The sequence below is a fragment of the Homo sapiens genome, chromosome 9 (assembly GCF_000001405.40).
Source record: "Homo sapiens chromosome 9, GRCh38.p14 Primary Assembly".
NCBI lineage: Eukaryota > Metazoa > Chordata > Mammalia > Primates > Hominidae > Homo > Homo sapiens.
In genome coordinates, this window is record NC_000009.12 from 100,117,761 (window position 1) to 100,130,332 (window position 12,572).

Here is a 12,572-nt window from a genome sequence, read left to right on the forward strand (position 1 = left end):
CTCCAAAATTCATATGTTTGAAACCCTAACCCTCAATGTGATGATATTAGGAGGCGGGGTCTTTGGGAGATAATTTAAGTCATGAGGGTTTAGCCCTCGTGAATGGAATTAACACCCTTATAAAAGGAACCCCAGAAAGCTCTCAAGCCCTCTTTTTCATGTGAGGATATCAGAAGTCAGCAGTCTGCAACTCAGAAGAGAGGCCTCACCAGAACCTGATCATGCTGGCATCCTGATCTCAGACTTCTAGCCTCCAGAACTGCTAGGCACAGGTGCATACCACCAAGACAGATTTTTTCTTTTTTTTTCTTTTTTTTTTTTTTTAGATATGGGGTCTTGCTATGTTGGCCATGCTGGTCTTGAACCCCTGGCCTCACGTGATCCTCCTGCCTCAACCTCCCAAAGTGCTGGGATTACAGGCAGGAGTCACCATTCCCAGCCAATTTTTGTTGTTGTTGTTGTTGTTGAGACAGAGTCTTACTTTGTTGCCCAGGCTGGAGTGCAATGGCAATATCTCAGCTCACTGCAACCTCCACCTCCCGGGTTCAAGCGATTCTCTTGCCTCAACCTCCTGAGTAGCTGGGATTACAGACGCCCGCCACCACACCTTGCTAATTTTTGTATTTTTAGTAGAAACGGGGTTTCACCATGTTGGCCAGACTGGTCTCGGACTCCTGGCCTCAAGTGATCCGCCCGCCTCAGCCTCTCAAAGTGCTGGGATTACAGGCATGAGCCACCACACCCAGCCCCAATTTTTGTTTTTTATAAGCCTCCCAGTCTATGGTACTTTGTTACAGCAGCTTGAACTGACTAACATACAAAATATAGGTTGAAAGCTTTGGGTTTATTTTTGTTTTTGTATATGTTTTTGTTTTTGTATATGAATGCCAAATTTTTCCAGCACCATTTATTATTATTATTATATTATTCACTCCTGTTGCCCAGGCTGGAGTGCAGTGGCATGATCTCGGCTCACTGCAACCTCTGCCTCCCAGGTTCAAGCGATTCTCCTGCCTCAGTCTCCTGAGTAGCTAGAATTACAGGTGCCCACCACCACACCTGGCTAATTTCTGTACTTTTAGTAGAGATGGGGTTTCACCATGTTGACCAGGCTGGCCTCGAACTCCTGACCTCAGGTGATCCACCCACCTTGGCTTCCCAAAGTGCTCGGATTACAGGCATGAGCCACCATGCCTGGTCTTTCCAGCACCATTTATTTAAAAGATTATCTATTGGTTTGCCTTTGCATCTTTGTCAGAGTCAGTTAATCATGTCTGTGTGTGTCTATTTACATACTCTCAAATCTGTTCTATTGGTCTATAAGTCTATTTCTTTGCCACTACCACATTCTCTTCATTACTGTGGGTTTACAATATGCCTTGATATCATACAATGTGAGTTCTTCAACTTTGTTCTTTTTTTCAAAACCTTTTTATTCTTCTACTTCTTTTGCCTTTTCATAACAATTTTAAAACTGCACATTCATTTCTACAAAGATTGCTCTGGGAAGTTTTTAACAAATTATTCTTAGTAGTACCTTATAGTGGGGATTAATTATGAATTTAATTTAATTTTTTAATAAAGTACTATATTAGGTTTTTATTGCTGTGTAACAAATTAACACAAACTTAGCTTACAAACAACAAACATTTATTACTTCACAGTTTCTGTATGTCAGGAATCTAGACACTGCTCAAGCTGAGGCTTTTGCTCGTGGTGTCACAAGACTGCAGTCAAGGCGTCAGCCAGGGCTAAGGTCTCATCTGAGATTTAGGATTCTCTCCCCACTGCACATTGGCAGAATTCTTTTTTTTGAGACAGAGTCTCACTCTGTCACCCAGGCTCGAGTGCAGTGGTGCAATCTCAGCTTCACTGCAAGCTCTGCCTCCCGGGTTCACGCCATTCTCCTGCCGCAGGCTCCCGAGTAGCTGGGACTACAGGCGCCCGCCACCACACCTGGCTGATTTTTTTGTATTTTTTAGTAGCGATGGGGTTTCACCATGTTAGCCAGGATGTCTCAATCTCCTGATCTGGTGATCTGCCCACCTCGGCCTCCCAAAGTGTTGGGATTACAGGCGTGAGCCGCTGCACCTGGTCCAGAATTCACTTTTTTAAAGGTACTTAATATGTCAACCTTATTGTTTCTCTATATGCACATTTATTTGTTACTGAAAATTGAAAAAATAGCATGTTGGAATTTTCTTTTAATATAATTCAAATTTTTAAAAACCAGAAAATCTAATTAGTTATGCTCTAATCAAACTTCTCAATGTTTTCTTTTCATTCTTTCCCCACAAGTTACCGTGCTTCAAATTCCAGATGTTGGGATTCATCTCACTGACTTAGGTTCTAAAACATATGGGAGCCCTGTGTGGTGGCTTATGCCTGTAATCCCAGCACATGATAATAATTCAGACTTATTGGTGCTGCTTTGGGTTCAAATTAAAAAGTAGAGCTAAAGTATATTCGAGTTATTCAAATACATTCAAACTTACACAGATTCCTTATAAATTACTGCTATCAAGGTAAGAAGGAAAAGATACAAGAAGAAAAAGACATCACTCATGATAGGTTATTATTGGTATACAGTCTATCCTAGCATAGACTGCTGCATAAATTTGCCAGCAAGAAAGAAAAGTACAAGAATAAAGTTTATGACTAAATCACCTCATTGTCATAATTTCCTATTCTAGCATTCTCAGAAGGATCCCATCTATGATACATGTAGAAACTGCAGCCACATTTGAATGGTTCAATTCTTGATTCATTCTGAACCCTCTTAGGCCCAATATTTGTTAGCTTTCGTTTAAGCTGAGAAAAATCTGTTGAGTAACAGGTATCTCAGTTTTACCATCCTTTCTTTCCACAAATAACGATGTCCTTTTTCCTCTCCTCCTGTAAGGCAAACCATCTCTGATGTCCTGGAAGGTCTTTGCTTTTCTATCTTGTTGTTGGGGTGAACCTTCTGGTGGAGGGGAAGGGAATTTGGTACCTGGGTGGAGAATCAAGTTATCAAGGTTCTTTATTAACGTTTTGGAGCAGAAGTTGTGAGAGGCCTCTGAATCATCCTGGGAATCTTTCTTTGGTGAGCATTTGTGAAGACTTTGGGATCAAGGTGCACATTTGTGATGAGTCGATCAATGGTCTAGTCATAGCTCTAAGCTCCTTCTGGATCTTTAGTCCCAGCAGAATGTGTTGCTGAACTCTCAAATTGCTACAAGGTACCCTGGAAAGAACTATGTAGCCCAGAAAGAGCCTGAAAACCTAAACTCCAACAAATAGTGATGAACAAGTTGACTACAGTTTTTTTTTAACAATTTTAAAATTCATTGCAGTTTGCTTCTCCAAGGCCAGCAGGAAAGTGTCTCTGCTGCTTCAAATCTCTACAATTTCTACCTCGGACCTCTAGACACTCTTTTGAAAGACTCACCTGATTAGGTGAAAGCAACCCAAACTAATCTCTCTTGATTAACTTGAAGTTAAATGATTAAGAGACTTAATTACATTTGCAAAATCCCTTCATATTTGCCACATAACAAAATCTAATCATGGGAGTGACATCATAGTCCTGCCCACACTCAAGAGGAAGGGATCATACGGGGCATGTATACCAGGGGCTGGAAGTCTTGGATGCCATGTTAGAATTATCCTACCACAAGTACTGTTGAGAGTATCTATATCTTAAGTGGACTTTGAAGGAGTATATCTTCCAAGGAATTTATCCATTTCACTTAAATTGTGAGTTTATAGCATATGACATTCTCTTATTTGCCTTTTAATATCTGCAGGCTTTGTAGTGATGTCATTCTTGATACTGGGAATTTGTGTCTGCTCTGTTTTTAATGATCAATCTGATTAGAGATTTATTAATTTAATTTTCCAAGAAACAACTTTTAGCTTCATTGATTTTCTCTATTTTTTTCTGATTTTAATGTAATTGCTCTCTGTTCTTATTTTTCTTATGTACTTCCTTCTGCTTGTTTTGGGTTAAATTTGCTCTTCTGTTTTAGTGTTCTAAGGTAGAAGCATAGATAATTGATTTGAAACTATTCTTCTATTCTAATTAAAAGCATTCATTACTATATATTTCCTTCTAAGCTTCCCTCATGTGTGGTGCAAGAACCTTACAACAACATGTTTTTATTCATTTAATTATGCTTTTTAATTTCCCTTGAGATTTTCTCTTTAACCCATGGATTATCTTAAATATTTTGTTATTTCTTGTTATTATTCTGTTATTGATTTCTAGTTTAATTACACTGTCATCTGATAATACACTTTGTATGACTTCACTTCTTTAAATCTGTTAGTATTCATTCATGACCCAGTATATTGTATATTTTGGTCAAGGTCCCATGGGTGTTTTGAAAGATTGAATTTCTGGCTGTCATTAGATGAAGTGTTAAATAAATACCAGTTGGATCCTGTTGCTTTATTTTTGTGTTCAGTTCTTCTGTGTCCTTGCTGATTTTCATTTTAGTGGTTCCAGCAATTATTGAGAGAAGAGTGTTGAAGTTACCAATTATAATTGTGTTTTCAAGTGTTTCTTTCTATTCTATCAGTTTTTGCTGCCTGTATCTTGAAGCTCTGTGATTTAGTATGTATACATTTAGGAATTTTATGTATTCTTGGTGAATTGACCCTTTTATTGTTATATAATATCTCTATTTGTTTCTGGTAATTGTCTTTTCTCTAAAGTTTACCTTATTAGATATTAATATACTTAACTCCAGCTTTCATTTCATTAGTATTTATTATAGTTTTGCTAATTCTTTGACTTTTAACCTCCTATGTTATTGTATTTTAAGTGAGTTTCTTTTTTTTTTTTTTTTTTTTTTTTTGAGACAGAGTCTCGCTCTGTTGCCCAGGCTGGAGTGCAGTGGCACGATTTCGGCTTACTGCAAGCTCCGTCTCCCGGGTTCACGCCATTCTCCTGCCTCAGCCTCCAAGGTGGCTGGGACTACAGGCACCTGCCACCACACCCAGCTAATTTTTTCTGTTTTTTAGTAGAGAGGGGGTTTCACCATGTTAGCCAGGATGGTCTCGATCTCCTGACCTCATGATTCGCCCGCCTTGGCCTCCAAAAGTGCTGGGATTACAGGCGTGAGCCACTGCGCCCAGCCTAATCAAGTCTTCTTTTATATCTCAGCCTTTTTATTGATGTATTTACATCATTTACATTTAATGTAATTATGAATGTTAAGATTTAAGATTTCCAATTTATTGTGTAGAACACTGCATGTTCCTTCTATTTTTCATTCCTGTCCTCCTTTCCGTTTCTTGAATATTTTTAGTATTCCATTTTAATTTATATATGGTAGAGCTTTTTGTAATGCTTTATTAAGATATAATTCACATACTATACAATTCAAAATTTAAAGTATACAATTGAGTGATTTTGTGTATTCAGTGTTGGACAAACGTCACCACAAATGATATTAGAACACTTTCATTATCCCACAGAGAAACCCTTCACCCTTTGGCTGTTACTCTTCAAATTTGTGCCCAACCCCCAGTCCTAGGCAACTACTCATCTACTTTCTGTCTCTATAGATATGCCAGTGCCAGATATTTCACATAAATATAATTATATAATATGTGGTATTTTTTGACTGGCTTCTTTTGCTTAGCATAATGTTTTCAAGGTTCATCCATGTTGAGCATATACTAGACCTTCATTCCTTTTGCTGAGTAATATTCCACTGTAGAGCTATACAACATTTTGTTTAACCATTCGTCAGTTGATGAATAGCTTATGGATACTTGCATTATTTCCACCTTTTGGCTCTCATGAATAATACTGCAATGGATATTTGTGTACCAGTTTTTGTGTGGACATATGTCTTCGTTTCTCTTGGGTACATACTTGGGATTGGAATTGCTGGGTCAAATGGTTACTTAATGTTTTGAGGAACTTCCAGAATATTTTCCAAAGTGACTCTACCATTTTAGATTCCCACCAGTAGTATATGAGGATTTTGATTTCTCCATATTCTCATTAATACTTGTTATTATGTATATTTTTTATTATAACCATCCTAGTGTATGTGAAGTGGTATCTTATATTGTGGTTTTTGTTCTGTTACCCAGGCTGGAGTGCAGTGGTGCAATCTCAGCTCACTGCAACCTCCACCTCCTGGGTTTAAGTGATTCTCATGCCTCAGCCTCCCAAGTAGCTGGTATTACAGGCATGTGCCACCACCACACCCGGCTAATTTTTGTATTTTTAGTAGAGACGGGTTTTTGCCATGTTGGCCAGGCTGGTCTTGAACTCTAGGCCTCAAGTGATCCGCCCACCTCAGCCTCCCAAAATGTTGGGATTATAGGCGTGAGCCACCCTGCTGGGTCTATGTTGTGTTTTTAAATAAATCTCTTTGTATAGTTTGTTTTCATTGGAGGTTTTTTATTTGTTTCTGAGTGTGTGTGTGTGTGTGTGTGTGTGTGTGTGTGTGTGTATGATTGTTCTAGGTATTAGAATATGTATACTTATTTTATCACAGTCTGTATTTTCCACTTTGAGTACAACATAGAAGCCTTATCACTAATTAGGTCCCTTTACCCTTCTTTTTGATATAGTTATCTTAAAAATCACCTCTACATAAACTGAGAACCACATCATACAGCAAGGTTATCTTTGCTTTCAATCATCGAAACATAACTCTAAAAATTAAAGAGGATAAGCCAGGCATGCACTGTAGCCCCAGCTACTCAGGAGGCTGAGGCAGGGAGGATTGCTTTAGCCCAGGAGTTCAAGACCAGCCTGGGCAACACAGTGAGACCCTCATTAAAAAAAAAAAAAAAACTAAAGAGGTTAAAAACAGTCTATTATGTTTCTCACATATTTACATTCTGCTTCTCTTTTTTCATTCCTGATGTTCTATTTGTTTCATGAGTGTTCATAGTTGGTTGTTGGAGCACTTTTTTGAGAGTTGTTTTAAAATTCTTGTCATATAATTCTAATATATCTGTGTCATCACAGTGTCAGTGCCTGTTGATTATCTTTTCTTGTTTAAATTAATATTTTCCAAACTTTTGAGTTGTTTCATAATTTTGGATTATATCTTTGACATTTTCTGTATTATGAGACTCTGGATCCTATTTAAATATCTTACTTTAGTAAACGGACAATCTGTCAAGGTTTAGAATGAACATTCTCTTTCAATTTTGTGGTTCAAATTTCAAGTTAGTTTTCAGAGATCTTGCAGGGCTCTTCTGGTTTGCCCCACCTCTGGGCTGCTCAGGCCCATTTAGAACCAAGGCAATGATCTAACTATAGTTCAATTCTCAGAGCTTTTGCTATCTTGATTCTGACCAGTTTCACACATGGGCTGCTCAAAAGTGTCCTGACTTTTTGTACCAATTTAAAGAATTACTTCCTCCAACTTTGTCCTCTCCATATTCCTATCTCCTACTCTCTAATTGGAAAGGGGTAAAATACTACCTCATTGCTATCCTTTGCTTAATTCGGGGCATTGATAGTTTGACAGGGCTCCTCCCAACGGTCTCTATAGTGTCCAGTGGGGAAAAGAGGTGCAGTTTCTTTTATTGTATGTGTTTTGAGTAGAGCATAGTCAAATGGTTCACTCAGCAGAGTTACCTGCCTCCCAGTCTTTTTACTAGAGAGAGTAGACTTCTCTTGAGAACTTTGGCATCTGTGCACCTTGGTGTTTCTGGATTATAGGCTACTGTAGCCCATAATGGGAGGCAAAAGCAAACAAGCAAACAGAAAACGCTTCAGGGAACTTACCACCAGGTTGTCTCTCAAGTTCCAAAGTTCCTAGTCCAAGATGCCTTCCCTTCTCTGCCTGTCATTTATTTTGCCTTTTGCCCTGGGGATTTTAGTTGTAATTAGCAGGAGGATGAGGATGCTATGTACTTGCTCTATCTTGTCATCTTGTCTAGAAAGGGAAATCAACTGTGATTTTTTTTTTTTTTTTTTTTTGAGATGGAGTTTTACTCTCGTTGTCCAGGCTGGAGTGCAATGGCACAATCTTAGTTCACTACAACCTCCGCCTCCTGGGTTTAAGCAATTCTCCTGCCTCAACCTCCCGAGTAGCTGGGATTACAGGCGCCCGCCACCACGCCTGGCTAATTTTTGTATTTTTAGCAGAGACTGGGTTTCACCATGTTGGTCAGGCCGGTCTTGAACTTCTGACCTCAAGTGATCTGCCCACCTTGGCCTCCCAGAGTGCTGGGATTACAGGCGTGAGCCACCGCACCCAGCCTGTAATTCATTTTTGTATCACTCATAAAACATACCACAATGCCTAGTGTACAATTGGCATTAATTAAATATTTGTTTCAAAAGACAAGAGTGAGTGAGGGAGGAACATAAGTAGCTCTGTATCTCAAAATGTTAGTTCAGCATAATATGATTGAGTCATCAGTTTAAATTCTAGCCCCACCTACTTTCAGTGTGAACATAGACTGGTTACTTAACTTATTTGAGCCTCAGTTTCCTATAATATGACAATGGTAATATCTACTTCTTAGGACAAGTAAAAATAAGATGATATACTTAAGCATTTAGCACAATGTTTGATAATAAACAGCGAATATAGTTCCTACTTATATTAGTAATAACAATTATCAAATATCACTATCTGTTTCTTATCCTTATAGGAAACTCTGCTCTTAAAGACAAAGAAGATCAGTTTGGGAGAACACCACTTATGTATTGCGTGTTGGCTGACAGATTGGATTGTGCAGATGCTCTTCTGAAGGCAGGAGCAGATGTGAATAAAACTGACCATAGCCAGAGAACAGCCCTCCATCTTGCAGCCCAGAAGGTGAGAAGTAAAATTTCCTTGAAGAGTAAATGTTTTGTGTGATGTCTGCTAGTTGATTAGTGGAACTATGCAATGGACAGATAATAAAGAAGTCTCAAATGCATGACTCATAGGTTTTATATATTTTCTCTAAAAGCTGTCTTTAAGCTGCAGAGAGTAAAAGCACAGATAACTATCAGCGGCTGCATTTCAGGTTCCTCAAACAGTAGAATTTATTCTGTGATCTAAAGTTTATTGGGAAAAAAGTGATCAAATTTATATATACAATGTGATGAAACAATGTTACCAATCTATGTATAGGGAAAAAATAAAGACCAAAAAGAAATACTCAAAGATATTAATAGTGGTTGGGTTTAAATTTGGGGAATATATATGGAATTTTTTTACTTTTCACTGTTTAAAATTTTTTCCTTAATGAGTATTACTTTTACTATAAAAAGTTGAAATCCCAGCCTGGGCAACATAGTGAGACCCCATCTCTACAAAAAATTAAAAAATTAGCTGGGCATGGTGGCGCACACTTGCAGTCCCAGCTACTTGTGGGGCTCAGGTGGGAGGATCACTTGAGCCTGGGAGGTTGAGGCTGCAGTGAACTGAGTTCACATCACTGTACTCCATCCTGAGTGACAGGGCAAGACCCTGTCTCTAAATTAATTAATTAATTAATTTAATTTAATTTAAAAGGTTGAAATGTCGCTTGAAATATGTGGCATTAAGAAGCATAAAATAAATTTATTTTCTGAATGTATTTTCAACTTTTTAAAATCTAAAACTATGTTGCCAATATTAATGATTTCACATTTTTAAATGTATTATTAAGAGCTCAGATTTTTAAGATTAAACCCATCAAACAGATAAAATAGGAAGCTTCTACATTTAGTTAAAGACTTATTCACCTAAAAACTATTTTTCTTCCATAAAATTTTGGTCCATAAAATAGATTTCCAGTGCCTGGTATTTTTCTTTTTGTTATTTTAGATTTCTGTATTTTTTGAATAAAAAGCAATTAAAATGAGTTAGATCCAGCGGGAACTATTAGAGTTATTTTCTATTTAAAAATGTGAACCAGATATAGCTAATTAATTAAGGGGTTAGAAAAATACCTTTCATTAGTTGAATGCATAAAAAAAGGCTGACATTAAGTTATACTACTGAATATGCTAGTTATATGCGCTTCTCAGTTAGGTCTGTCAGGTTATTTTCAAAGTTACTTCTCTTGAATTTGGTTTTTATTATAGTAATTTTTTTAAAAATCTCCCTCATTTTCAATCTCAGTTTTAACTACTTCTCGGGTATTTATAACCTTTCACTTAGGCTTGTCAGCTAATGAAATTATTCACTCGAGAAAGGTAACTCCATTTAACTTGTTATCATAAAAAAGCAAATAGTTCAGATTGGGAAAAGCCGCAAAATTAAGACTTTGATACCCTTTAGATTTTTCATTATGATTGATTTAGGTGTAAAACTCAGCTTCAAAAATGTAGAGTGAAGGAACCTAGCTTAACATCAAGTAGATTATGTGGAGCAAGTGAGGATTTCAGTTGATGATCCAACAGTATAACATCCTGTAGAAGTATTATATGACAAAGATGGTTGAAAGAAGGGGAATGTACAACCAGACATGTTAGCTGTAATCTTTTCATCAGATACCATGCATTGTTTTCTTTAGTTTTTTTGTTTCTACTTTGATTTTTTAATTATAAGTTTTTCATAGTATCGAAGAATAAATAGAACTATGATTTATGTGGTGGTATTTACATAGTTGGTTTTATAACAGATTTCATGTTCTTTCAAGTATCTGATAATTATGCATTTCCTTCCTTACTCTGTGTTGCTGTTTGTTTTTACATGCTTGCCAAAAGCAGTAATGGATCCGAATTCCCAGAAAAGGATAGTAATAATTCTTTAGTATTCTCCTGTGTCCAATTAAATCTGGGTACTGTGTTAGTTCATTTGTGCTTTATACAAAGCACCAGCATTCAGAGATGAAATATAGTATGCACCAGTCAGGAATAAGATAGTAAATGATCTACAAATAATTTTCAAATAATAGTTGGAGATAATATGTCCCAGGCCTGTAATACTCCTTGCCCCCAAAGAGACACAAGCACAAATTCTCTTTAGAGAAAACATCTTCACCTTAAACTTCCAAGATTTTCCCATATTAAATAAACCAAACGTGAACTGACAATGAAAGATCACCAAACTCATAAGGGAACAATCTACTATGAATGAGAGTCAGCAGAAACAACAAACAGATTTAGTCTATGAAAAACATCAGGGATTGGCATCATTAGAGAAACAATATAAAATAACCACTGATGGAATGCTTAAAGATATGAAAGAAGAAATCAGCCAAGCACAGTGGCTCACACCTGTAATTTTAGCACTTTAGAAAGGCCAGGCAAGAGGCTCTCTTGAGGCCAGGAGTTTGAGACCAGCCAGGGCAACATAGAGAGACTCTATTTATTTAAAACAAAAAAAAATTAGCTGGGTGTAGTGGCCCACACCTGTAGTCCTAGCTCCTTGGGAGGCTGAGGCGGAAGGATTGCTTGAGCCCTGGAGTTTCAGACCAGCCTGAACAACAAAGTGAGACCCTGTCTCAAAAAATATATATTTTATTTAATATTATAATTAAAAGAAGGAATCTGGCAGGGTGCAGTGGCTCACACCTGTAATCTTAGGACTTTGGGAGGCCAAGGTGGGTGGATCACTTGAGGCCAGGAGTTTGAGACCAGCCTGGGCAACATGACGAAACCCTGTCTCTACTAAAAACACACACACATACACACACACAAATTAGTTGGGCATGGTCGTGAGCACGTGTACTCCCAGCTACTTGGGAGGCTGAGGTGGAAGGGTCGCTTGAGCCTGGGAAGTCTGCAGTGAGGAGAGATCATACCACTGTATTTCAGCCTGGGGGACTGGAGTGAGACCCTGCCTCAAAAAAAAATGTAAATACATAAAAAAATTTTTTAAAAAAACAAGGAATCAGAAAAATAAGAAACCAACAAGACACTTTCATAACTAGGCATCAATTCTGGCCATAATGGCTTATTTTAAACTAATTTGCCTGTCAAAAAAATCTGTAAAAACTGAATAAAATACTATATACATTGTTTGAAGGCATTGAGAACAATCAGCACAGGCAGGATCTAAGAGACTACAATCATTCAAAGAAGAGAAACACGTAAAGTGAGTACCACATTCATCCTGGCCTTTTCCTTTATGACATTTTCCAAACTGGAATGCAAAAGAATACAACCCTAACAGGAAGCAGCAGCCTTACCAGGCTGAAGAAACTGAGGCAGAGTTTGGAGATAATAGTGGCTGGAACTTGAAAGTCAAAATCCTGGAGAGGAGGGAATTGCAGAGAAAGAATGCAAGAATCTGGATACAAATTCCTCACAAGTTTTTAACAGATTCCTAAACTGTGCTTGTATAGGGTGGTGCTCTAAGAAACCTAGTATTAAACAACAGCTGGGAGACTAGACAGCTGAGTAGAGATTATTTTAAATTATCCTATATTTTCTTTTATGTTTAAATCTCTTAATATATAACACATTGATTTTTGTATGGGGATCCATTCTCATTTTAAAGCATATGGATAACTAATTTTCCCAACACAACCTAGTTCATTAATTTTTGGCCATTTAGTATCTGCTCTCTGTCAGTTCCAGGCTTTTGTACTACGAACTCCCTATGCATTTCTGTTTTTTTAAATGAGGGATCCTGAATACTAGGGAGCCTTTGGGAAATTTGAAAATAAAAGTTACATGATCA

The 12,572-nt window shown here is 37.5% G+C and overlaps 1 protein-coding gene and 1 pseudogene across 4 annotated transcripts in view; one reads left to right on the forward strand and one right to left on the reverse strand.

Annotated features, from left to right (window-relative positions):
• The window catches only part of INVS (inversin), a 202,933-nt gene that overhangs the window by 18,518 nt on the left and 171,843 nt on the right, over positions 1-12,572 (forward strand). For all 4 annotated transcript variants that reach the window (NR_134606.2, NM_001318381.2, NM_001318382.2 and 1 more), the window contains exon 3: positions 8,623-8,789. Coding sequence is in view for 1 of the 4 variants with exons in the window: in NM_014425.5 (NP_055240.2) it covers positions 8,623-8,789 (167 nt within the window). In the remaining 3 variants the exon portion in view is untranslated. The remainder of the gene's footprint in view (positions 1-8,622; positions 8,790-12,572) is intronic.
• On the reverse strand, positions 2,675-3,140 carry DPPA3P10 (DPPA3 pseudogene 10; annotated as a pseudogene).